At 40.7% G+C, this 23,061-nt stretch overlaps 1 protein-coding gene across 8 annotated transcripts in view; it reads left to right on the top strand.

Annotated features, from left to right (window-relative positions):
- NR3C2 (nuclear receptor subfamily 3 group C member 2) overlaps positions 1–23,061 on the top strand; it is a 366,559-nt gene that overhangs the window by 324,003 nt on the left and 19,495 nt on the right. For all 8 annotated transcript variants that reach the window (NR_148974.2, NM_001437655.1, NM_001437654.1 and 5 more), the window contains 2 exons: positions 1,032–1,162; positions 7,059–7,216. Coding sequence is in view for 7 of the 8 variants with exons in the window: in NM_001437655.1 (NP_001424584.1) it covers positions 1,032–1,162; positions 7,059–7,216 (289 nt within the window). In the remaining variant the exon portion in view is untranslated. The remainder of the gene's footprint in view (positions 1–1,031; positions 1,163–7,058; positions 7,217–23,061) is intronic.

The following is a 23,061-nucleotide window of genomic DNA, read 5'->3' as shown; positions in this document are numbered from 1 at the left end:
AGAGTTGAGTTGCAAGAGATTTCTGCCAATTGAGGGGAGCCCCAGAATCCATCCTGCAAAAGAGATCCCCACATTGCTTTCCTGCAGACGCTGCCTGCTTTCAGTCACCCTTTAATGGATCCACTATCCAGACCTCGTTTTCTGTTTCTTTGGCCTTTGGCAAGTCCTTTCCCATTTTTCACCAATAGTGTCTCTTTCACTTTTTACGGTCTGGTCACCATGAACCAGTAGTTATCCAGGGCCTTACAAAAGGTTTATTACTTTGAAGGAAAACATCTAAAAAAAATAGTGATGCCTTGCTTACTTCTCAAGAAAAGAGAAAATAATGACTTCTGTTTTTAGATAACATGGATTTTTATGGAAGCATTTGGATAGTGGTGTGAGGGTATTGTTTGGTTGTGTGTGTGGAAGTATTTGTATATGTTGTGCCAAACTCCCTTGTCATTTTTTCTCTTTATCAGAAAAATTCCATTTGACGTTCTCACCTTTTAAAGTATTTTTTAATTTCCCTTTTAAAACATGTTGCTGTAAATAGTTAATAACATGCTCCATGACCTCTGTAAGGAAGGCCCATGGAGAAATAAGATTGGTCATCCCCATCCTATGTTCGTAGCATCTAGCCCAGTCCTTTCCTATAAGTGCTGGATATCTGTGGCTGAAAAGGAACAAGAGTCAGATCACAGCAGCTTCTCTGCTTTGTGGATGGTCTCACTGTAACACACTAAAATCCTCATCAGTCAGTATTACTCTTGACATAAAATGAAATCATGGCATACTTTAAAAGGGTTGGTTTCAGTGCTCCTGACACATTCTCACAGGGTACAAGTAAACGGCCCAGCAGTATTGGTCTAGAAGCAATTTACCAGTCACTATGAAAAGCATCTAACTTGTCTTTAAAATACACATCTGCTCCATGTTGAAGCCAAAAGGAGAATTCTGACTCAGATCTCTTATTAAGCTGCCTCAGGCTGCCAGTCTGGGTTTGATAATGAATCTTGCATTCTCAGACATTTTCTTCTTTTCCTTTGCAGAGAGAAGATGCATCAGTCTGCCATGTATGAACTATGCCAGGGGATGCACCAAATCAGCCTTCAGTTCGTTCGACTGCAGCTCACCTTTGAAGAATACACCATCATGAAAGTTTTGCTGCTACTAAGCACAAGTAAATTGATGCCCATTCTGGCACTGTTTCTATATTACCAGATCATCTTCCCCATAGGGCAGTAGGCTATTTATTGTATTCAGGTAGTTGGTACCAAAACAAAAACAAACCAAACAGAAACACTGAAGAAATGGGAGGAAGGCTTTGACCTTTGATGAACTAAGTTACTTGCAAAGTATGAAGCTTTGGGCATGTGAAAGAGCATACCCCAACATTCCTTCATCCATCCAACCACTCAGTGTTTATAAAGTATCTGTTATGTGTATGGTAGGATTGGGCAATTCAGGAAACACAAGGGTTAATGAAGCACAGTCTTTATCCTCATGGAGTTTATACTCTAAGCAAAGTTCAAAGATTTTTTTTTTTTTTTTTGAGATGAAGTCTTGCTCTGTTGCCCAGGCCAGAGTGCAGTGGCATGATCTTGGCTCACTGCAACCTCCACCTCCCAGGTTCAAGCGATTCTCCTGCCTCGGCCTCCCGAGTAGCTGGGATTACAGGCATGCACCACCATACCCAGCTAATTTTTGTATTTTTAGTAGAGATGGGCTTTCACCATGTTGGCCAGGCTGGTCTCGAACTCCGGTGATCCACCAGCCTCAGGGTCCCAAAGTGCTGAGATTATAGGCGTGAGCCACCACGCCTGGCCAAAGATATCTTTAATACATATGGAAAGTAATTATTTACTATGATGGAGGTAAGGAATGTAATGGTGGTTCAAAGAAGGGAAGAGCACATTCAGTTCTGGGGATCTGGGAGGGACATGTGATGCAGCTGGATCTTGGAGGGTTTTGCAAGGGTCGTAGGTTGGATAGAAGGTGTGAGATGGCATTGCCATGAGCATCAGTAATGAGTGTGGACCTGTGGGGAAGTCTATATAGGCAGTAACAACACTTAGCGGGAAGGGGTTGTTTTGCCTTCCAATCCTTTATTTACGTATTCATTTATTTTTTAAAGGTGCATCAAGTTATGTTGGATGGAGGAGTTGTGGGTAATAAGATTGGGGTGTGGATTAGACCAAAATATTCAATGTCCATTGAAGAAATCTGAACTTCATTAGGTGGGCAGAAGAGGGCAATGCTGAAGGCTTTTGAGCAGTGGGGTGACAGGATCAAAGCTGTATTGTATGGCTTTATAAGGGTCTCTCTGGCGGAATAGATTCAAGAGGAGAGAGACAGGATAGGAGAGAGGCAGAGACAGAGAACTTAGCCCAACTGGAAGCACAGAGACCTGCTGGGAGCCTGTGGAAATAATGGGGGGTATTACCATGACTGGTAGTATGATAGACAGGAGCAAGTGGAGTCCAGAAACATTGTAGAGTTGGCCTTGGCAGCTGCCTAGGAAGGGAAATGAAAGTGCTGTGGGTCAGAGTGACACAGGTTTTGAGCGCAGAGAAATGACTAGCCACAGTAGTGATGCCATTAATAGGAATATGTTAACATCAGGACTTGGAGCAGATTGTGTGGCGTGTAAAATGAGTGCTGTTTTGGATAGGTTAATTTTTTGATACCAACTCTGAGTCTTGATAGAAACAGCCAAAAGATGGGGAGAACTGGGGACTGGGACTGTGAAGACAGGTATGAGCATGGAGATATAAATTTGAAATTATCCTTATAGAAAATTGTAGTATAATTCCAATGGTGAGTGGGGTTACCATCATCCAGAGAGAGCCAGTGGAGCTGTGTTACAGGAGGGTGGCAGAAGCTGCAGGGACAGAGACAACTGTCAGAGAGGTGGAGAAACTGGGAGAGTGTACGGTATTGGAAGCCACGAGGTGAGAGTTTTCAAAAGGCATGTGACTAACAGCATGGCCTCCACAGAGAAAGTTGATAACCCCGACAGAAGGCCACTGGAGTTGACCATTAGGCATCGTGCAGGTGCCAGCATGCCAGGGACTTGCAAATTGATGAGAAGCTGTTTTGGGCTTCTGGAACCAAGTATGGGAGGAGAGAAGTTAGTGGCATAAAGTGCCAGAGGAGACAACAGAGGACAGGATTAGCTTTGGCAAGGATGTCTGGCAGTTTAACTCTTGACAACAGCACAGGCATTTTCCAACAGAGGGGAAAGAATTTGAGGAAGCTCCCATCAGATGAGGGCGAGACCCAGAAAGATGACAGGAGACAATGTGGAGAGGAAAACTCTGAGCCGTATGAAATGGCCACTGAGGAAACTGAGAAATGTTCCAGATGTTAAGAGCCTGCAAGGATGCCATGGCAGGTGGTATGGACTTCAGAGGAGAGAGTGCCTAGTGACAACCTGGAGTATCCAGTCTGTGCCCAGCCCTTGCCATGGGCCCCTGAAACAGAGGTGTGGGAGAAGGGGCAGTGATCAGTAAAGTCATTTGGAGAAAAGGGCCAAGACTAGCCAAGGGGCTCAGGATTTCCGAATGCGTATGAAGAGCTGTTGTTTCCAGCAGAGAGGACTGGGTCTACGGAAAGTAAGCTGGAATCAGGTAGTGATCAAAGCAGGAAGAGGGGACACAGTGGTGACATGGGTAACATCCTGCTTTACCTGTGTTTGGCACCTTGCAATTTGCAAAGTGTTTTTCCATATATTATCTAATTTAATGCTTAAAATTACCCTGGGAGATTGATAGCCCTATTCTAAAGTTGACAAAACGGAGGCACGTAAGTGTGATATGTTGAGTATCCTCTATGAGCTAGGACTAAAACCGATGGCTTGGAACTTTACCTCCAGTGTCATTCCTGCTCCCCTAAGAGCAGTCACCAAGAGGCTGAAAGGCAGGCAATGGCAGGTGGCACACAATGGCAGCAGCGAGGGCAGAGTGTCCAAAAGGCAAAATCGCAGACTCCATAGCAGAGGGGGCAAACCGGCAGTCCTGGTAGGGAGGTGGGGCCAGCAGTTCACAGCTGTGTTTTATTTGGCCAGCACAGGTTTTTGGGGTTGCTTTTGGCCTTTTGTTTTATTTTCATTGAATTCAATTGCCCGGGGCAGGGCATGTTCTCTCTAGTTTGCCACAGGCCCCACCATTCCTCACTAATTACACCCAGCCCCATCTCCCGCTGCTCTTGTGTTTACAACCCCTCACCTGCAGGGTTGTCCTCCTGCTCCACTCTTCACCAAGGTTTCTGTTGTTCCTGATTTATTCTTTCTGGAGTATAACTTTGGAACTATAATCTTTAAATTCACTGAAAATGATTTTACTCCTCTGCCAAGCTAGATTATTAACCATTACTGGTTAGAAAAATATGTTTAAAATTATGACAAATGGATGATAGAATGTAAATGAAACATTTTTTAAAGTGCTTGTGATACTAATTCTTCATGAATGTTGACTACTCAATCTAAATTCATGTCTTATCCTTTTACATCTCTTTACATATTCACTCAGCTCGTAATAGATTCTGATACCATTTTGAAGCTACTTGAATTAATTTATTAGCCCCCAAGTAGCTTGGTACTTTGAATTCTGATTTTTTTTCAATGCAGAAGAAGCAAAATAAAAAGGTAGGAAAAAACATAGGTAAAGCATTTTATGAACCATAAAAACTGCAGGCGTTAGTAAGCTTGTTTTGCTAATCTATGATAGAACACATGAAAATTTTTCATCTCAGGAATGTCAGATGCACACCTGATATCCAGTGTATCAAAGTTTTTCGGGACTGACATCAGAGGCTCTCATGTTCTTGAGGAAAGCAGACAGACTTCTACCCCAGTTGTCTCTTTGCTCTTCTCCAGATTTTGGATGATTTCCAGCAGCTCTGCTGCATTTAATAAGTAAATTCAGAAACTCTGGGCAGAACTCCAAAATTTGAGGTTTTGCTTAAGTTCTCTTTATTTGTGGGTTTGTTTCAACTTCTAAAAAATCTGGCTGGGAAACTGGTACAATATATTTCAGTTACAGCAATAATATATAAGTAATACTGTTTGACAAGTTGTTGTAATTTTTAGAATTTTTGATCTACAACTATCAGAAATATAAATTTGGTTAATCTTAGATGTACCAAATGGTATTGAAATATGATAGTGAAACTTATTTATTCTACCACTAGTTAACTTTTCATGTATAGGGTGATGTCCATATAAGTATCTATACTGAAAAACTAAACATTTACTTTGTACAGTTTTATAACTTAAATGCTAATCTGTGGGTGGGAAGTGTAAGATATTTGAAAACTTTTCCTATCTTTTAGAAGGTTTTAAGTTAACATTAAAATTTTGGTAGAAATTGGATTTTACTATTAACATCCTGGTTATTACTGTTCTTTTTGTTTTTTTACTTTTAAAATAAAGTTTTCAGGAGAAAAAAATACTATTTGTTATATAATGGATAGCATTTAACATTTAATATGAATGTCAAATATTTTAAACCACAACTAATACTGTGGCAGCCTCAGGAATTTGTGCAGTTGCTATTAGGGATTTATTTTTCCCCTCACAAAAATAGACTCAAATAAATGACAAATCAAAAGTCTCAACAATTAAACTCAAGAAGATTATTAACATAATAGTAGAAGTTAATTTGCAAGATAATCCATATCTTTTTGTAGGGTAACAGGGTTTATGTGGAAACAGCAGTATGCCTGGCTTCCAGGGTTGCACACAATACTCAGCACCATCTCCAAGTCTCCAAGTGCTGATGACCAAAGTAAATAATTATTTACACCAGTTATGGGAAATTAGCAAATAAATAGGTAATTAAGAAGTGAAAGTAAGAGCAGTTTCAAAATCAGAATGTTAATATCCCAAGGTGAATTTTCATTAGGTCTTTATCACCTAGAAATAAAATTCTAGTTGATTTTCTTATTCAGTGTTAAGGCATAAACATAACTATTGGCTATAAGTGGAACAAAAATGCTTAAACTCTGTCCTAAACCTGGACTTCATTTCTTAATAAAGTACGTTCACAAATGTCCTGGGACCTGCTTCTCAGCGGGTCACAGAAGCACTTGATAAGCTTACAAGTCCTGAATTTCAAAGTATTCCTTTTAAGTGAATTTTTTTAAAACATACGAAAGCTAGCCACCACATAAAAGGAAAGAAGAAAATATTGTCCTTAGTTTTCTACCTTATCAAAGATACAGATGAACATGGTTCATTCTCTTTGAAAGTTTTAAATTTTGCCTTGCGTGCAGAGCCACTGTTGTTGTTCCCCCCTCACACGCATAAACCAGTGTACGTGAATCCTAACTTGCCAATACCTCAGAGATAGGAAAATATATTTTGATGTACAGACGCTTTATGGGCTTGTGCTGGAAGGTCACGTGCCTTAGTGGTCATGAGATCCTGGTGCAAAGTGGATAGAAAGTGCTTCTTTGTATGCAGCGTCCTCCCCTTCGTAGATGGCCAGTTCCCCCGAATGTCTTTAATATCTGAACTTGAGAATGAGGATGTTGATTTCTAATTCTAGCCCCAACCTAGATTGTCTATGGCTCTTCAGTTATCCTGGAAAATCAAAATATATTTTACTATCTTGAAGTATTGGCAAGTTAGGATTCATAAACACTTGGATGACCAGCCACAAGGCAATGTGGCATTGTGGTTAAGAGGCAGGCTTTGGAAACAGACAGACCTAAGTTGAATACCACCCCTTCTCTGCCTTTTTTTATTGTGTCCATGGGCAAGTGATTCAGCCTCCAGTGTTCAGTTTCCTCATCTGTAAAATGAGAATGATATAACAGTTATGTCATAATATTGGTGTCAGGGTTAAGTGAACTAGTCTGTGCAAAGTGTATGATAAGACACATCTGATAAATAGTTGTTCTTTGTGTATGTATGTGTACAAGTATTTGCCAGTAGACAGCTGCCATATTTATTCATAAATGCAATTAATTGAGATTTAGTATCTAACCTCAAAATCAGTATATGACTTTACCTGCCAAGATGCTAAAGTTGTTTTCCATCCTGGAAATTTACATGTCTGTTTTCCTTAACACAGTTCCAAAGGATGGCCTCAAAAGCCAGGCTGCATTTGAAGAAATGAGGACAAATTACATCAAAGAACTGAGGAAGATGGTAACTAAGTGTCCCAACAATTCTGGGCAGAGCTGGCAGAGGTTCTACCAACTGACCAAGCTGCTGGACTCCATGCATGACGTGAGTAGAGCCCCTCCTTGGTTCCTAAGTGAAGGATCAGCAACCACATACACACTGCTGACCAAAGGAAACAGAGACTGAGAGTTTTCAGGGTGTCATGCTAGACCTCTGTTGACTCCATTAAGGATATCGCCATGTCCAAGGGGCTGAAGAAGAGACCCAGAGCCAGGGAATGAGACATAGGGTTTATTGGGTACTTACATACAGGATGGGCCAAGAGTAGTGCCAGAAAACCACTCCCATTTATAAAAAGCATTCAGGTTATATAGCATTTTCGCCTAGCAACCTCCATGTAACCCATGACAAAGGGCCTCGATCCCCTGGACGACCTGCATTCCAAAGAATGGGCCAGGGATTCGGATGTCCTCTATAGATTAGGAGTGAATCTCCAGGTTGGCCACTCTCAGATTCCTTAGCTTAGAACTCCGAACACATATTCTTCTTAAACCATAGGGTTATTCTCAGGGTATGCTTGAGTTATTGCTGTCAGGTGCATCTGCCATACACAGGGCTTTGGGAAGAATCAGAGTAAATCATCTGATAGAAAGCAGCAAGAGTTAAAAACTGATTAAGGAATTTTTTTTTTTTCAAATAACCTTTGGAACAAACCTCATTTGCAGCAGAGAGTATGCCCTGGACCAGGGAAGGCCCTCAGATTTGCTACAGGTGTCAGATTGAGTTTCACATTTTTGCTTGCAATTTAGGAAATGTTTGGTTAATAAAAATGTTTGCTTTAACATTGCATAAATAGTGTCCATCTTCTACAACTGTTAATCTAATAACCCAATCTTTCAAAAACATTATTAGTGGTTCAGGGCCAGCCTGGATCATCTCAATCTTTGCCAACTTTTGAGTCTTATATTCATTATTCTTCATAGGAGTCACCTTTCTTGTCTTGTGTCAATACAGAAAGGAGATTCTAAGCTTGTTTCTAATTTAATCAATTATAGATATAGCCGAGGTGGTTTTAGCAGTTTCTACAAAATATTGATTTGGATAACTTGCTTTGTATGTCATTTAAAATATGCTTCTTGTTTTATTTTGCAAGCAGCTTCTCCAATTCCGGCTCAAACGATGTTGTACGCAGTCATGCTAATTTAGTTCTTCATATTTGTGAAGTTTCCATACTTTCTTTTGGAGAATTTATTGCCCAAGTTCATCCTGTAAGATCTGAGTAGGAAACTCTTTTAAAAATATTTTTCTATTAAGGAAAATGTTGACAGGCATCATTGATGACCAGTATTATAATGGTATTATTATGGAAATAATGGTCCATCTTTTAGAAATTCCATTATGCCAGCGGAATGTTATCTCTCTGTGGTAACTAATGGCATAAGGTTGATTGATAAAAGAATGTCACTTTCCAGTGTTTTACACTGAGACCCTGTGCATATCATTTACCTCTGCTTTATCTGAACTTTTCATATGACAGAAGTCAAATTCCCACAAGGCGAACTCAGTGATAAATAGTTTTGCTAATTGTCAGTGGCTTAAAGAGTGTGACTTAGTGGAAAATCTTAGAAATAAGAGATGATGGCAAGCAAGGCTTTGGGGAACACAGCAAATTATGCTCTTCATGACTCACACAAAAGGAAATGCAGGGAACTGGAGCAAAGTCTTCCCACTCCTTTTATGTTGAAACCACAGATCATCTACATGAGAACACATAGCAGATTTACTTTCGTCTGTTAATTTCATTGAAAGGCCCTCTGAGTAGAGAATAGAATGGAGGTTTTGTGGTTCTTTCGTAAGTTCTCTTATTTGTACAGTTAGGCACAAGTGCAATATCAAAATTCATGTGATTATAGATGAAACATTCTGAAACAATTTCCATGTAATGAGGCTTACAACAGAAGTTAAACTTGGTTTTTCAAAAGCCCTTTGGAATTGACTTTTCTTAAGCAGCATAGCACAATGGAAACACTAAGGCCTCACCTAGTGGTCCATGGGTCAAAACCTCCTTTGCTAGTTTTTTTTTTTCCCCCACCAGCACAGTGCTTGGCATAGATAGGAACTCAATGAATAGTTTTTTGAACGGCTGTATCATAAATGCTGATTTTATGCAAAGTTTCCCAAAGTAAATTAGTGTCTGTGGGGGTTTCTTAATTGAGGTATAACTGATATAGAATAAACTGAACAAATTTAAAGTCCACAATTTTATAAGTTTTGACTTCTATGCACACCTGTGAAATTATCACCACAATCAAGATAGCGAATATATCTATCACCCCAGAAGTTTTCTCCAGCCTTCCTTCAATCTTTCCACCTACACTCCTTCTCCTCAATTACTTTCTATATCGCTCTGTGAATCGAGATTAGTTTGCATTTTCTGGTGTTACATATAAATACAACAATGCAGTATGTAGTCTTTTTTGGTCTGGCTTCCTTCACTTAGCATAGTAACGTTGAGATTCACTCATTCCATTTCATATATAAATAATTTGTCGTGTTTTTCTTATTGCAAAGTAGTTTCCCATTGTATGGATTTTCCCCCAATTAATTTGTGCAGTCACCTATTGATGGTTGTTTGGGTTGTTACCAGCTTGGAGGCTATTACAAATAAAGCCATGCTGAACCTTTATGTACAAGTCTTTGTACAGACATATACTTTCTCCTTTCTTGGATGAATGCCTTGTAGTAGAATACCTGGGTAATATGGCAGGTATATTTTCATATTTTAAGAAACTGCCAAATGGTTTTCCAAAATGGTTGAACAATTTACTGTTCCCACAAGAAGCATATGAGGTTCAGATTGCTCCATACCCTTGCCAACTCTTGGCGTGGTTAGTCGGTTTACTTTCAGCCATTCTAATAGCTGCATAGTGGTATCTTACTGTGGTTTTCACTTACGAAAAGATTGATGATGGTGAACATCTTTTCATATGCTCATTTATCTTTATATCTTCTTTGGTGAAGTGCCTGTTCAACTCTTTGGCTCATTTTTCATAATTGGATAATTTGTTTTCTGACTGCTGAGTTTTGAGGGTTCTTTATATTTTCTGGATACAAATCCAGATATATGACTGTAAGTATTTTCTCCCAGCGTGGCTGATCTTTTCATTCTCTTAGCAATGTCTTTTGAAGAGCAGGAGTTTGTAATTTTAACGAAGTCCAGTTGATGATTGTTTTCTGTATGGGTCGTGCTTTCAGGGCTGTATCTGAGAAGCCCTAGTGTAAGCCAGTGTCATGGAGCTTTTCTCTATGTTTCCTTCTAGCATTACTATCCTTCACTGATAGCCTGTGTCTTGGAAATCATTTTTTCATGGTCTTTATTTTGAGAACTTTTGGTTGTTTCAAATGGAAGGGTAGTTTCAGTTCATCTCACTCCACCTTGGCTGGAAGAAGAATACCACTTCTTTAGAATCATTAGAATCATTTTAATTCTAAAAGCTTTATTTTGAAATATCAAAAATGTTTGATCTTAAAGGGGGCCTGACAGAAGCATCTTGAATACTCTATTTATATTCCTATTCCAAACAGAGCATTGAAAAATGCATTTTAAGTCTAGAGGGACCTTTCTAACATTCACACTTACTCAGACTTGAGACTGCCTACAGCTTTTTCATTAGAGTAAATTAGTGAATCAACAGTTGTGGAATTTTCTTCAAGGGAACAAAGAACTACACAATGCGCTGGCTCTATACTCAGAGCCTAGTTCTGATCACCTTGTGGAAAAAAGAGCATTTGTTTCTAAGGGTCACACACATAAGAACCTTTGACTGTAGATCAAAGTTCTGCTTAAACCATGTGTGTAGTATGCCAGCTCTCAGGACACATCCACGCCGCTCTCAGGACACACATGGATTTCTTCCACATGGTACACATATGTGCTGGAATAATGGTCCCAAGGTGGGTGAAAGGAACATTCTCTGAAAGAACAGGTTGATAGTTGAGTGTTTGAATCAGTTAACAACTTTAATGAATCATAAGTCCTCTGAATGTCAATCTTTCCCCAAAAAAATATTTCAAACAAAGCAGCTGTGGTAAGGATACTAGGAGTAAATGTAGTTTTGCATTGTAAATGTTTAGGTGTCATATGTAAAGCATATAGAATCCTTACTCTACTAGAAAGAATTGACAATAATAATTTTTTAGCTCTTACTAAGGATAGCAATTTCCTATGAGGGAAAGAAGCTTATTTCTAATGAATTTATTGCTAACTTCTATTCATTCTTAGAGAGATCAAGGACTATTTATGTTATGGTAATTGTGTAGAACAGTAAGTAACAAAGATGATATTAATAGTACCTCTTGATGCAAAAATTGCCCTTTTCCTATTAAACATATGTTGTAATTTTATGTCAGTATACACACTTAGTAAAAATGTGCCTCCTGCCTAGCAGTATAGACAGTGCTGCAGAGGATAACAATAAATAAGATAGCAACCTGACCCCTGATAAATAGTGTGCATAGTGTGCCAGCCCTCAGGACACATGCACACAACTTTCGGGACATACATGGATTTCTTCCACATGGTACGCATATGTGTTGGTAGAATGGTAAATAAGCTTAGTTTACAGAGGTGACTGGAGCATAATGCAAGGTAGAAAGTAATCAGGTATTCAAACCAGTTCCCTGGATGGTGGGACCCTTGAGAGCATGTATGTTTATATACTGATCTGCTGGTGAGCCCTTGCCACATTCCCAGGACCAGTGGGCCAATGCAAACAGAAAGTCTGTCCTTAGTAATCGATAGAGGACGATATTCATCTCATTCAACAAATACTTGAGTGTCTAAAAGTGCCAGGCAGTGTCATAGGAGGGAGACACCCCCAGACAGGGCAGCCAGACAGCACCTGGAGGTCACAGGGCAGCATGCTGGGACCTCCGAGGAGGTGGAGTTGTGGGCTCACTGACACTTATTCTACATTGGTACCAAGCCTTGTGAAGAAAGTGGAGGAGCTGTGCTGGGCAGGAGTCATGGAAAACTTCCAAGGGGGCATCAGAGGATCCTTATTTAATGGAAGAAGAAACAGCCCCACAGAATGATTTCTTAAGGTTCCTAGATAGCTGGTGGCAGCCAGAACTTCCTTGACTCACTGCTGAGTGCTCCGGACGCTGCCATTATGAGGAGAGAACACTTGTGGCTGATAGCAGCTGCTCGTTTTTAGGCTGGGCTGCATTTCAGAGATCAGAAAACCATCATATAGGAATGTTAGGGACAGCTGCACCACCCTCCGGCGCTCCAGATTTGTTTGCATCTTCCCTGGCACGTTCTGGAATTCATCGTTTCTGTGAGGTGCAGGGTTACATCTTGAAGGCAGTCAACCTTGTTTTGTATTAAAACATCATGTGTGTGTAGCAGATCCCAAAACAAAATGTTAGTTGGCCTCAACATGAGCTGAGCAGGCCTTGGCTTGGAGGCGTTTGCTTCTGTGTACGACCATTAGACCTGGATGGGAACCTACCCCTGGGGTGGGTGGGGGTCAGTGTGTCACTCAGATGCTCTTCTCTGCACGACAGAAGGAAGGCCTCTGAGGATCCCATTGCTGAATAGCTGCTTTCTGTGTCTCCAGGGGCCATGCTAGAAGCTGACGTGGCTCTTCTCTAGCCAGGCTCTGGGAGCCATGGCTTCCCTGCTCCAAGAGGGGCAAGGTGGGTAGTGTGAGGAACAGAAATCTGGTGGTACAGAAAATACTACATGTACACACTGGGGAGATGTCATTCTTTAGGTCAAAAGGGCATTAAGTATCATTGACATGGCTGGGTGCAGTGGCTCCCAGCTGTAATCCCAGTACTTTGGGAGGTGGAGGTGGGCAGATCACTTGAGGTGAGGAGTTAGAGACCAGCCCAGCCAACATGGTGAAACCCCATCTCTACTAAAAATACAAAATTAGCCGGGTGTGGTGATGCGTGCCTGTAGTACCAGCTACTTGGGAGGCTGAGGTGAGAAGATTGTTTGAGCCCAGGAGGCAGAGGCTGCAGTGAGACAAGATTGCACCACTGCACTCCAGCCTGGATGACAGAGCAATACCTGTCTCAAATAAAAAAAACAAAAAACAAAAAACAGTCAGTGACACAATAACCACAAATGACATACTGCTACAAGCAGCAGAGACTGTTCACAAATTATTATTATTTTTATTTTTTATTTTACTTTAAGTTCTGGGATACATGTGCAGAATGTGCTGGTTTGTTATGTAGGTATACATGTGCCATGGTGGTTTGCTGCACCTATCAACCCATCATCTAGGTTTTAAGCCCCACATGCATTAGGTGTTTGTCCTAATGCTCTCCCTCCCCTTGTCCCTGACCTCCAAATAGGCCCCGGTTTGTGTTGTGCCCCTCCCTGTGTCCATGTGTTTTTATTGTTCACCTCCCACTTATGAGTGAGAACATGTAGTGTTTGCTTTTCTGTTCCTGTATTAGTTTGCTGAGAATGATGGCTTCCAGCTTCATCCATGTCCCTGCAAAGGACATGAACTCATCCTTTTTTATAGCTGTGTAGTATTCGATGGTGTTTATGTGCCACATTTTCTTTACCCAGCCTATCAATGATGGGCATTTGGGTTGGTTCCAAGTCTTTGCTGTCGTAAATAGTGTTGCAATAAATATACGTGTGCATGCATCTTTATGGTAGAATGATTTATAATCCTTTGGGTATATACCCAGTAATGGGATTGCTGAGTCAAATGGTATTTCTGGTTCTAGATTCTTGAGGAATCACCACACTGTCTTCCACAATGGTTGAACTAAATTACATTCCCACCAACAGTGTAAAAGCATTCCTATTTCTCCACAGCCTCACCAGCATTTATTGTTTCCTGACTTTTTAATAATTGCCATTCTGACTGGCGTGAGATGGTATCTCATCGTGGTTTTTATTTGCATTTCTCTAATGAGCAGTGATGATGAGCTTTTTTTCATGTTTGCTGGCTGCATAAATGTCTTTTGAGAAGGGTCTTTGCCCACTTTTTGATGGGGTTTTTGGTTTTTTTTCTTGTAAATTTGTTTAAGTTCCTTGTAGATTCTGGATATTAGACCTTTGTCAGATGGGTAGATTGCAAAAATTTTCTCCCATTCTGTAGGTCACCTGTTCAGTCTGATAATAGTTTCTATTGATGTGCAGAAGCTCTTTAGCGTGATTAAATCTCATTTGTCAATTTTGGCTTTTGTTGCCATTGCTTTAGGTGTTTTACTCATGAAATCTTTGCCCATGCCTATGTCCTGCAAGGTATTGCCTAGGTTTTCTTCTAGGGTTTTTATGGTTTTAGGTTTTACGTTTAAGTCTTTAATCCATCTTGAGTTGATTTTTGTATAAGGTGTAAGGAAGGGGTCCAGTTTCAGTTTTCTGCATATGCCTAGCCAGTTTTCCTAGCACCATTTACTAAATAGGGAATCCTTTCCCCATTGCTTGTTTTTGTCAGGTTGGTCAAAAGATGGTTGTAGATGTGCAGTGTTATTTCTGAGGTTTCTGTTCTGTTCCATTGGTCTATATATCTGTTTTGGTACCAGTACCATGCTGTTTTGGTTACTGTAGCCTTGTAGTATAGTTTGAATTCAGGCAGCATAATGCCTCCAACTTTTTTCTTTTTTCTTAGTATTGTCTTGGCTATACGGGCTCTTTTTTGGTTCCATATGAAATTTAAATTAGTTTTTTCTAATTCTGCAAAGACAGTCAATGGTAGCTTAATGGGAATAACACTGAATCTATAAATTATTTTGGGGAGTATGGCCATTTTCACAATATTGGTTCTTCCTATCCATGAGCATGGAATGTTTTTCCGTTTGTTTGTGTCCTCTCTTATTTTCTTGAGCAGTGGTTTGTAGTTCTCCTTGAAGATGTCCTTCACATCCCTTGTAAGATGTATTCCTAGGTATTTTATTCTCTTTGTAGCAGTTGTAAATGGGAGTTCATTCATGATTTGGCTCTTTGCTTGCCTATTGTTGGTGTATGGCAATGCTTGTGATTTTTGCACATTTATTTTATATCCTGAGACTTTGCTGAAGTTGCTTATCAGCTTAAGGAGATTTTGGCTGAGATGATGGGGTTTTCTAAATATAGAATCATGTCATCTGCAAACAGTGACAATTTGACTTCCTCACTTCCTATTTGAATACCCTTTATATCTTTCTCTTGCCAGAACTTCCAGTACTATGTAGAATAGGAGTGGTGAGAGAGGGCATCCTTGTCTTGTGCCAGTTTTCAAAGGGAATCCTTCCAGCTTTTGCCCATTCAGTATGATATTGGCTGTGGGTTTGTCATAAATAGTTCTTATTATTTTGAGATATGTTCCATCAATACCTAGTTTATTGAGAGTTTTTAACATGAAGGGATGTTGAATTTTATCGAAGGCCTTTTCTGCATCTATTGGGATAATCATGTGGTTTTTGTCTTTGGTTCTGTTTATGTGATGGATTATGTTTATTGATTTGTGTATGTCGAACCAGCCTTGCATCCCAGGGATGAAGCCAACTTGATCGTGGTGGATAAGCTTTTTGATGTACTGCTGGATTCGGTTTGCTAGTATTTTATTGAGGATTTTCACATCGATGTTCCTCAGGGATATTTGCCTGAAGTTTTCTTTTTTTGTTGTGTCTCTGCCAGGTTTTGGTATCAGGATGATGCTGGCCTCATAAAAATGAGTTACAGAGGATTCCCTCTTTTTCTATTGTTTGAAATAGTTTCAGAAGGAATGGTACTAGCTCCTCTTTGTACCTCCCGTAGAATTCGGCTGTGAATCCGTCTAGTCCTGGGCTTTTTTTGGTTGGTAGGCTATTAATTACTGCCTCAATTTCAGAACTAGTTATTGGTCTATTCAGGGATTCAATATAGTCTTGAGAAGGTATATGTGTCCAGGAATGTATCCATTTCTTCTAGATTTTCTAGTTTATTTGTATAGAGGTGTTTATAGTATTCTCTGATGGTAGTTTGTATTTTTGTGGGATCAGTGGTGATGTCCCCTTTATTATTTTTTATTCACACATTATTTTGAGAGAGTCATAGTTCATATAATTAGTGGGTGCTTTTGCATCTCGCTGTGGTCCTGGTAATTTCCCTCAGGATCACACTAGAGGGGACTTAGAGGGAGACACAAACCTACTTTAAACCTCATATGGAAGAATGGAAGCTGCACATTTGGCTATGTCCACCATTTACTTGGATAGCCCACTCACTTCATATTTTATTCTGTCTTATATCTTTCCACTCAGGCAAAGTTTCTCCTCAGGAAATGTTCTGAGGCCAAAATAGAAGCCTGCCATGGAAATGAGACCACTGCGGACAACAGAAAGAGTGTGGCCTCTGGTGCTAGGTTGCCCTTTCTTTCAGCCATCTTGGTGCTTTACTTCAGTTTTTGGCTTTCGGTTTCTTCAACTGTAAGGCAGTAATAATACCCATCTTGTAGGAAGTTTGGGGAAGTGAATGAAATAACACAAGAACCAAGACATCTACCACATAACAGGCACTGAACAAATGTTCACCCTCTCTTCCTGTTGCTCAGGTGACAATGAAATAAGGCTACTTGCTTCTATGTCTGTAATAAAGTACCCAGAGCTGGTAGTACCATGAATGTGTATGTAAGAGACATCGAGAGATCGAGATTCAAAGCCACATTCTCTCTCACCAAGCTAAACTATTTATTATAATTGTTAGCGGTGTTATGCTGCTTTCTTCTTTGACAAGGCCATGACTAAGAAGGCTCTAAGTAAAGGAAGAATCATTTATTCCATAGTCAGCTAACTGGTAGCAAAGCCTTCTCTTCCAAGACACCAAGGGAGAGGGGAGGACATAAATTATGCAAAAAAAAAAAAAAAAAAAACCAAACCAAAACACAAAAAAACAAACAAATCTCACTCTTTTTGAAAAGGACATCTTCATAGGTGTAAAGATTTCAAATTAAATGAATAACTGACATGGGAGATCTTACTCATTGCCTAGTGGGTAATGGAACAATTGCTAAGGGCTTACATTATCTCTATAATGATTACTAAGGGCTTACAGTGAGAGGTGGTGGAGCCAAGTTTGAATTCCTAAAGTAGATAAGAGCTGGCAATTACATTTACAAATTTCTTCTTTCACAAGGATAGCCTAGTTCAGAATACATTGCTCTGGCTGACTTGTGCCAATGGATGCTTATTTTCATATAAAGCATCTTTATATTTGTATAATTGGGAAAATGCAACAAATATAATTAATAATGGGTGGTAAATAGGAAATAATAGGTGAAAATGTGATTTCAGCGTGAAGGAAAAGCATGGCCTAGATGCCTTGAGGTGTGGTATGGGGAGGTCTGGACAAGCCAAGGACTGGTGTCTGTTACATGCCTGCAGCTGGGGCCGTGGAGTCTGACTGGAATATGTAACTCCGCGTAGAGGTAGAAAGGGCATCCTTATGTGTTCCTTCTTCGGTCACCACATTAATGGTTTAAGGGCAGCATCAATCAGTGGCCATGGTTGTATCTCTCGGAGCTCCCCTAGGGTTTGGAATAGGTTCATAGAGCGAGAGGCAGCAGAATTGCTCAGTGACTGTTTCTCTCAAACTTGTTGGAAAGAGGCTTTTCATAACCAGAACGCTACATTAAAAAAGAGATTTTTCAGTGTCCAGTTGTTATTCACTCTGTGAAACGAGCCATCTCTGTCAGTTACCCTTCTAAACAGCCTCTACGGGTACGTGCAAAGAAAGGGCTACTGAGTGGCCCTGCTTCCCGGAGGGAGGGCCTGGCTTTTGGGCCGTGAGTCTACTGGCAGGGGAGGCACACGTGGTAGCCTCTACCATGCCAGGCACAGCACAGGCACTATGGATACAACAACCACATGAGAGACCTGGGGCCTATGTCCTCTGTGAGGACAGAGCTTGCAGTCTGATGGGGAATATAGACACCTAAACTGGATTGAAAACCCGGCATGAAAGGTGGTGTGATACGGAGTGTCAGGACCACGGGTGGAGTATCTGGAAAGGGAAGTGGCAGGGTAGAGAAGGGGCCATGGCATGAGGCAAGGGAAAAGACTGCTTAGCTGCGACCCAAAAGTCAAGTCGGGGTTTGCCACATAGATGGAAGCTATTCTAAGCCAAAGGAGTTAACATCCCAAGGGAGGGAGAAGCATGCTGATTTTGAGAAATAGAGAATGTCCTTGTATCCAAGAGAGCCATGGGACGAATGGAGAGAAAGAGGAGGGAGACAGTGATGGAATCCGTAAGCCAGGTCTAGGAAGCTGTTGAGGCATTTTCACCACATCTGTAGAGAATCTGGAGCTGATCTGTCCAACGCCATTTCCACCGTCGTGTGGGGCTCTTTACATTTAAATTAAGTAAAATGGAAAATGAGTCTCCTGAACACACTAGCTGCATTTCAGGTGCCCCACAGCCACATGTGGCTAGTTGCCACCATTCTGTTTATAATGACAACAGAAAGCTGTGCAGAAGGTTGTGCTGAATGGTGCTGTCTGACAGATTCTAGAGGATCCAGGAGGGGCAGGAGGCAGCGTCCCAGTTGGGATGCTGGTGCTGTGGTTCAGGTGAGAGCTGGTAGAGCCAAGCTGGGGCAGGAGCACCAAGAGAGGTTCAGGTGGTGGAATGATGACTCCTGGTGATGAAAGGGATGGGGAGGTTGAGAGAGGAGAGAGCAAGTCAAAGAGAACTCCCCAGAGTTGGAAGTAGATAGCTGGGCAAGGTAGCACCTGCCCAGAGGAGGGGGCTCAGGGCCAGGAGATCTGGGAGGGGGGATGAAGAGCTTGTTTAGGACGTACAGGATTTGAAAGACCTTTAGGACATTCTGGAGGAAATAGCAGGTAGACACTGAGTTCTGTGGATCAAGGTGAGGAAGGCAGCCTGCTGCTGCAGATGTGGGAGGCGGCAGCATGTGAGTGGTCACTGAAGCTGGGAGTGGATGGAACTGCCCAGCTGTTGGTGCAGCTCAAGAAGAGGGCACAGAACGGAAGAGGGTCCAGAGGAAACACTGTGGTCAAATGGGGAGGTGGCTGCAAAAAGTCTGGGAAAGCGCTGCTGCTAAAGGAAGAAAAGGAGGCAGAATGGGGACATTCAGGACAAGCCAGAAAAGAGAGTGTGTGCCCCATTTTGCCAACGAGGGGCCTGAGGGGAAGAAGCTGCAGAAAGGTCAGTTAGCAAATGGCCTGAACAACTTTCAGTAGCCATAGCAACTGGGAGGTGGTTGTGAAGAATAGTGGATCGACTCAAGGCATGGTAATGCTCACGGGGTTTCCAGTATCTATATTAGAAGCCACAAAGCAAACAGGGACAGCAGTCCATTTTTTTTTTTTAATATTGAGAGTGTTGTCCAGCAAAGCTCCTTAGTAAAATTGCCTTAATAAATAGAAGAGAATGATGGCTCTTTCTGTTAAATGGTGGGATGTATGTAAGTGAGCAGTTCGAATGTGGTTGAGAGAATATACAATGTCTTTGTGTTTATATGTTTAAGCCTGGCTAAGAAATCCCATCAGCTTAACAAGCCTATCTTTGTAAATAATCCCGAAACTCTATTCCAGACCATGGCTGGCTTTATTATGTACTGTATGCATATATGTGTATATATGTGAGGATGTGTATATATCACACATGTGAAGAGTTCAGCATCAAAGGCAGCTATGAGGCTTCTGAGCTGATCTTCTTTTTTAAGTCATGATTTAGTTCAATGATGCAGGTCCTGAACCCTTCCTCTCCCATCACTTTCACATTACACCTTAATTATGATTGTTCATTTCCACTTGCAGCCACAGAACCTCTATCTTCTTCAGTCTTTCGTGCTTGATCATAGCTTTCGTGGCTGACTTAATGCAAAACCTGGGTAATATACTTACCTCTTTCAAGAAGGTTAATGTTTTCCCAGCGGCTGGTTTTTAGACAATTCATAGTGCTTACCAACAGTTGGTCAACAGCCAGGCAACATTTTAAGATGCAATTGTACTATGTTTTACAGAAATGAGAAGGGGGAATGTCCACATAGGAGTTTATGCTTTTTTATTATTTTATTTTTAATTGTAAAATACACAAGCATAAAATGTACCATGTTAACCGTTTTTCAGTGTACAGTGTGGGTGTTGAGTACATTCACATTGTTGTGCAACCAATTTCCAGAGCTCTTTGTCCTGCAAAACTAAAACTCCCCCTTCCCCTCTTTCTGTCTCTATGAATTTGACTACTGGGAGTAGCTCATGTGAGGAGACATACAGTATTTGTCTTTTTATGACTGGCTCATTTCACTTAGCATAATGTCCTCCAAGTTCGTCCATGTTGCAGCAGATGTCAGAGTTACTCCCTTTATAAGGCTGAATAATATTTCATTGTATGTATACACCACACTGTGTTTGCCTGCTAATCTGTCAAGAGACATTTGGGTTGCCACCTTTTGCCTATTGTGAATAGTGCTGCTATGAACATGGATGTATAAATATCTCTTTGAGACTCTGCTTTCAATTCTTTTAGGAATATTCCCAGAAACTGGATTGCTGGATCATATAATTCTGCATTTATTTTTTTGAGGAAACACCGAACTTTTCCACAGCAGATACACCATTTTTCATTGCTAACAACAGTGAACAAGGATTCTAATTTCTCCACATCCTTGTGATCACTTGTTATTTTCTGGGATTTCTTTTTAGTGCTCATCTTCATGCTTGTGAAGTGGTAACTCATTGTAGTTTTGATTTGCATTTCCCTGATTAGTGATGTTGAATACCTTTCCAGGCGCTAATGGCCATTTGTAAGTCTTCTTTGAAGAAACGTCTTTCAAGTCTTTGCCCCATTTTATCAATTTTTTGTTTTTTTGTTGTTGAGCTGTAGGAGTTCTTTATATATTCTGTACATTGGCCCCTTATCCAATCTATGATTTGCAAATATTTTCTCCCATTCTCTGTTTTTGTTTGTTTTCACTTCGTTTGTTTTGGTGCCAAGATCGTCTTTCTCTTATGAATTTATAATGACAACAGAAAATCGTCTGTTTCTTTTAATCCTTAACTGGCAAAAATTAAAAGCGGTGTTTGATCTCAGTTTATTTAAAGAAGGGAAAAAAGTATTTTTCTTATGATCACCAGCTCCTCGTGCTTCATCATTGATATTTCACAGGTTACAAACCCATAGAACATGTGCCTGTGTTCACAGCTAGTTTTGAAGACTTATAAGCAAGTAATTTTCTGTAAGAACACTGCAGAAAAACTAGGATCTTGCCTCATTATGGGAGGAAATCAGGCATTCCATTCCCACCTGACTGCGAGATTTGTGCTGCCACAGGGTGATCTTTCTGGAAAAAACAAAAATTTTAGGGAGAAAAAAACCACTGAAGGTCCTACAGGCTATGTTTCTAGAAGATCACATCTAAATCAAACCTGACACACAGGAATCTTTTCCTGATCTGAAATATATCTAGGGGAGATTTTGGGAAACTATCTTATTGTCTAACACCTGTGTCAATAAATCCCCCGCTCCTATGCAGCTCAAATCCCTCTTCTTACAATATAATAATAACTGTGTAATACCTGGGATTTACATAGTGTCTTTCTTTCTAAGTCCTGTCATTAAATCCTTCTAATGTTTCCATGAGGTGAGGATGAGTAAATATTACTATTTAAACTTAATCACCCTCCTGTCTTAATTCCTTTCTCTATAAAAAGAAAATAATAGTAATGCTTACTTGGATTATTTTTATCCTTTTTATAGAGAAAGGAATTAAGATGGGGTGATTAAATGCATTTTCACGGGCTCATAAATGAGGCAGGAGGGAAAGAAGCACCTGAGGGAGCCATCAGGTGGCTCCTGTGGGTGGCAGCCCAGCCCTCCACCTGGGTAGCTCCATTGCTGATAGGTTAGGTGTCACTCTGGGCTTATCCATAAAGTGGGCATCTCCAGGGCCAAGTGTCATGGGGGTGTGGCCTTGCAGTCCCACTCTTGGCATAATATTCTGCTGCTCCCATCTGGAAATTCTTAATAAACTTTGAACGAGGGACCCCTTATGTTCATTTTGCACAGGGCCCCACCAATTACGCAGTTACGCAGCCTGGCCTAGGCATAATATAATCTGTTTAAGATTGTGTTTGTCAGAATTCAGCCTGCAGTACAGCTTGCAATGGGTAGAACACCTTGCAGGTGTGGCCAGGGAAGAAGACAGCAGAGATAGGAAAGACAAAAAGTTTGGGTGGAGCAGTACATAAGAATTCAGGCAGACAAGGGACTCACTGATATGCTATAAAAAAGGAACTTTTAAACCCAGGGCCTAATTTGATACAAAAAGGAAATAGTGAAGGAATTTCATAAGGAGTGAGACACTCTTAAGCAATAGAGAAATGTTATTGTCAGTGTCATTATAAAATAGAGGAGATAGTTTTAAATGATTGATATTTAAAAGGCTAGGAAGATGCCAATTGACCAATTAAGTTTATCAAGGTCATAAAGGGACTAGAAAGTATATGTGGGTTAAACTGCAGACAGTCAATACTCATCATTCTCAGATTTTGTATTTACAACTTCACCTACTCACTAAAATGTATTTGTAGCCCTAAAATCAATGCTCAGGGCACTTTTGCAGGCATTCCCAGATGTGCAGAGCAGTGAAAAATGCCTGTCACCAATGTGCATGTTCCTGGCAAGGTCAAACAAGGTGACTCTGCTCTCTTGTTTCAGCTCTAATGCCGTAAATACTCATCCTTTTTGAGGTCTACTGCATGCCATGTTTTTTTTTGCATTTTTGTGCATTTTGTTGGTGAGTCTACTGTTGAGATGGCCCACAAGCATAGAGCCCCAGTGCTGTCTATGTTCCTAAGTGCAAGAAAACTATGACGTGGCTTATGGAGAAAATATGTGTGTTAAAGAAGCATCCTTCAGGCCTGAGTTACAGTGCTATTGGCCATGAGTTCAATGTTAGGGAATTGGCAGTATACATTAAATAAGATGTCTT

The sequence above is a fragment of the Homo sapiens genome, chromosome 4, assembly GCF_000001405.40.
Source record: "Homo sapiens chromosome 4, GRCh38.p14 Primary Assembly".
NCBI lineage: Eukaryota > Metazoa > Chordata > Mammalia > Primates > Hominidae > Homo > Homo sapiens.
The sequence above is the reverse complement of the archived record's forward strand: the minus strand, read 5'-3'. Positions and strand labels throughout refer to the sequence as shown.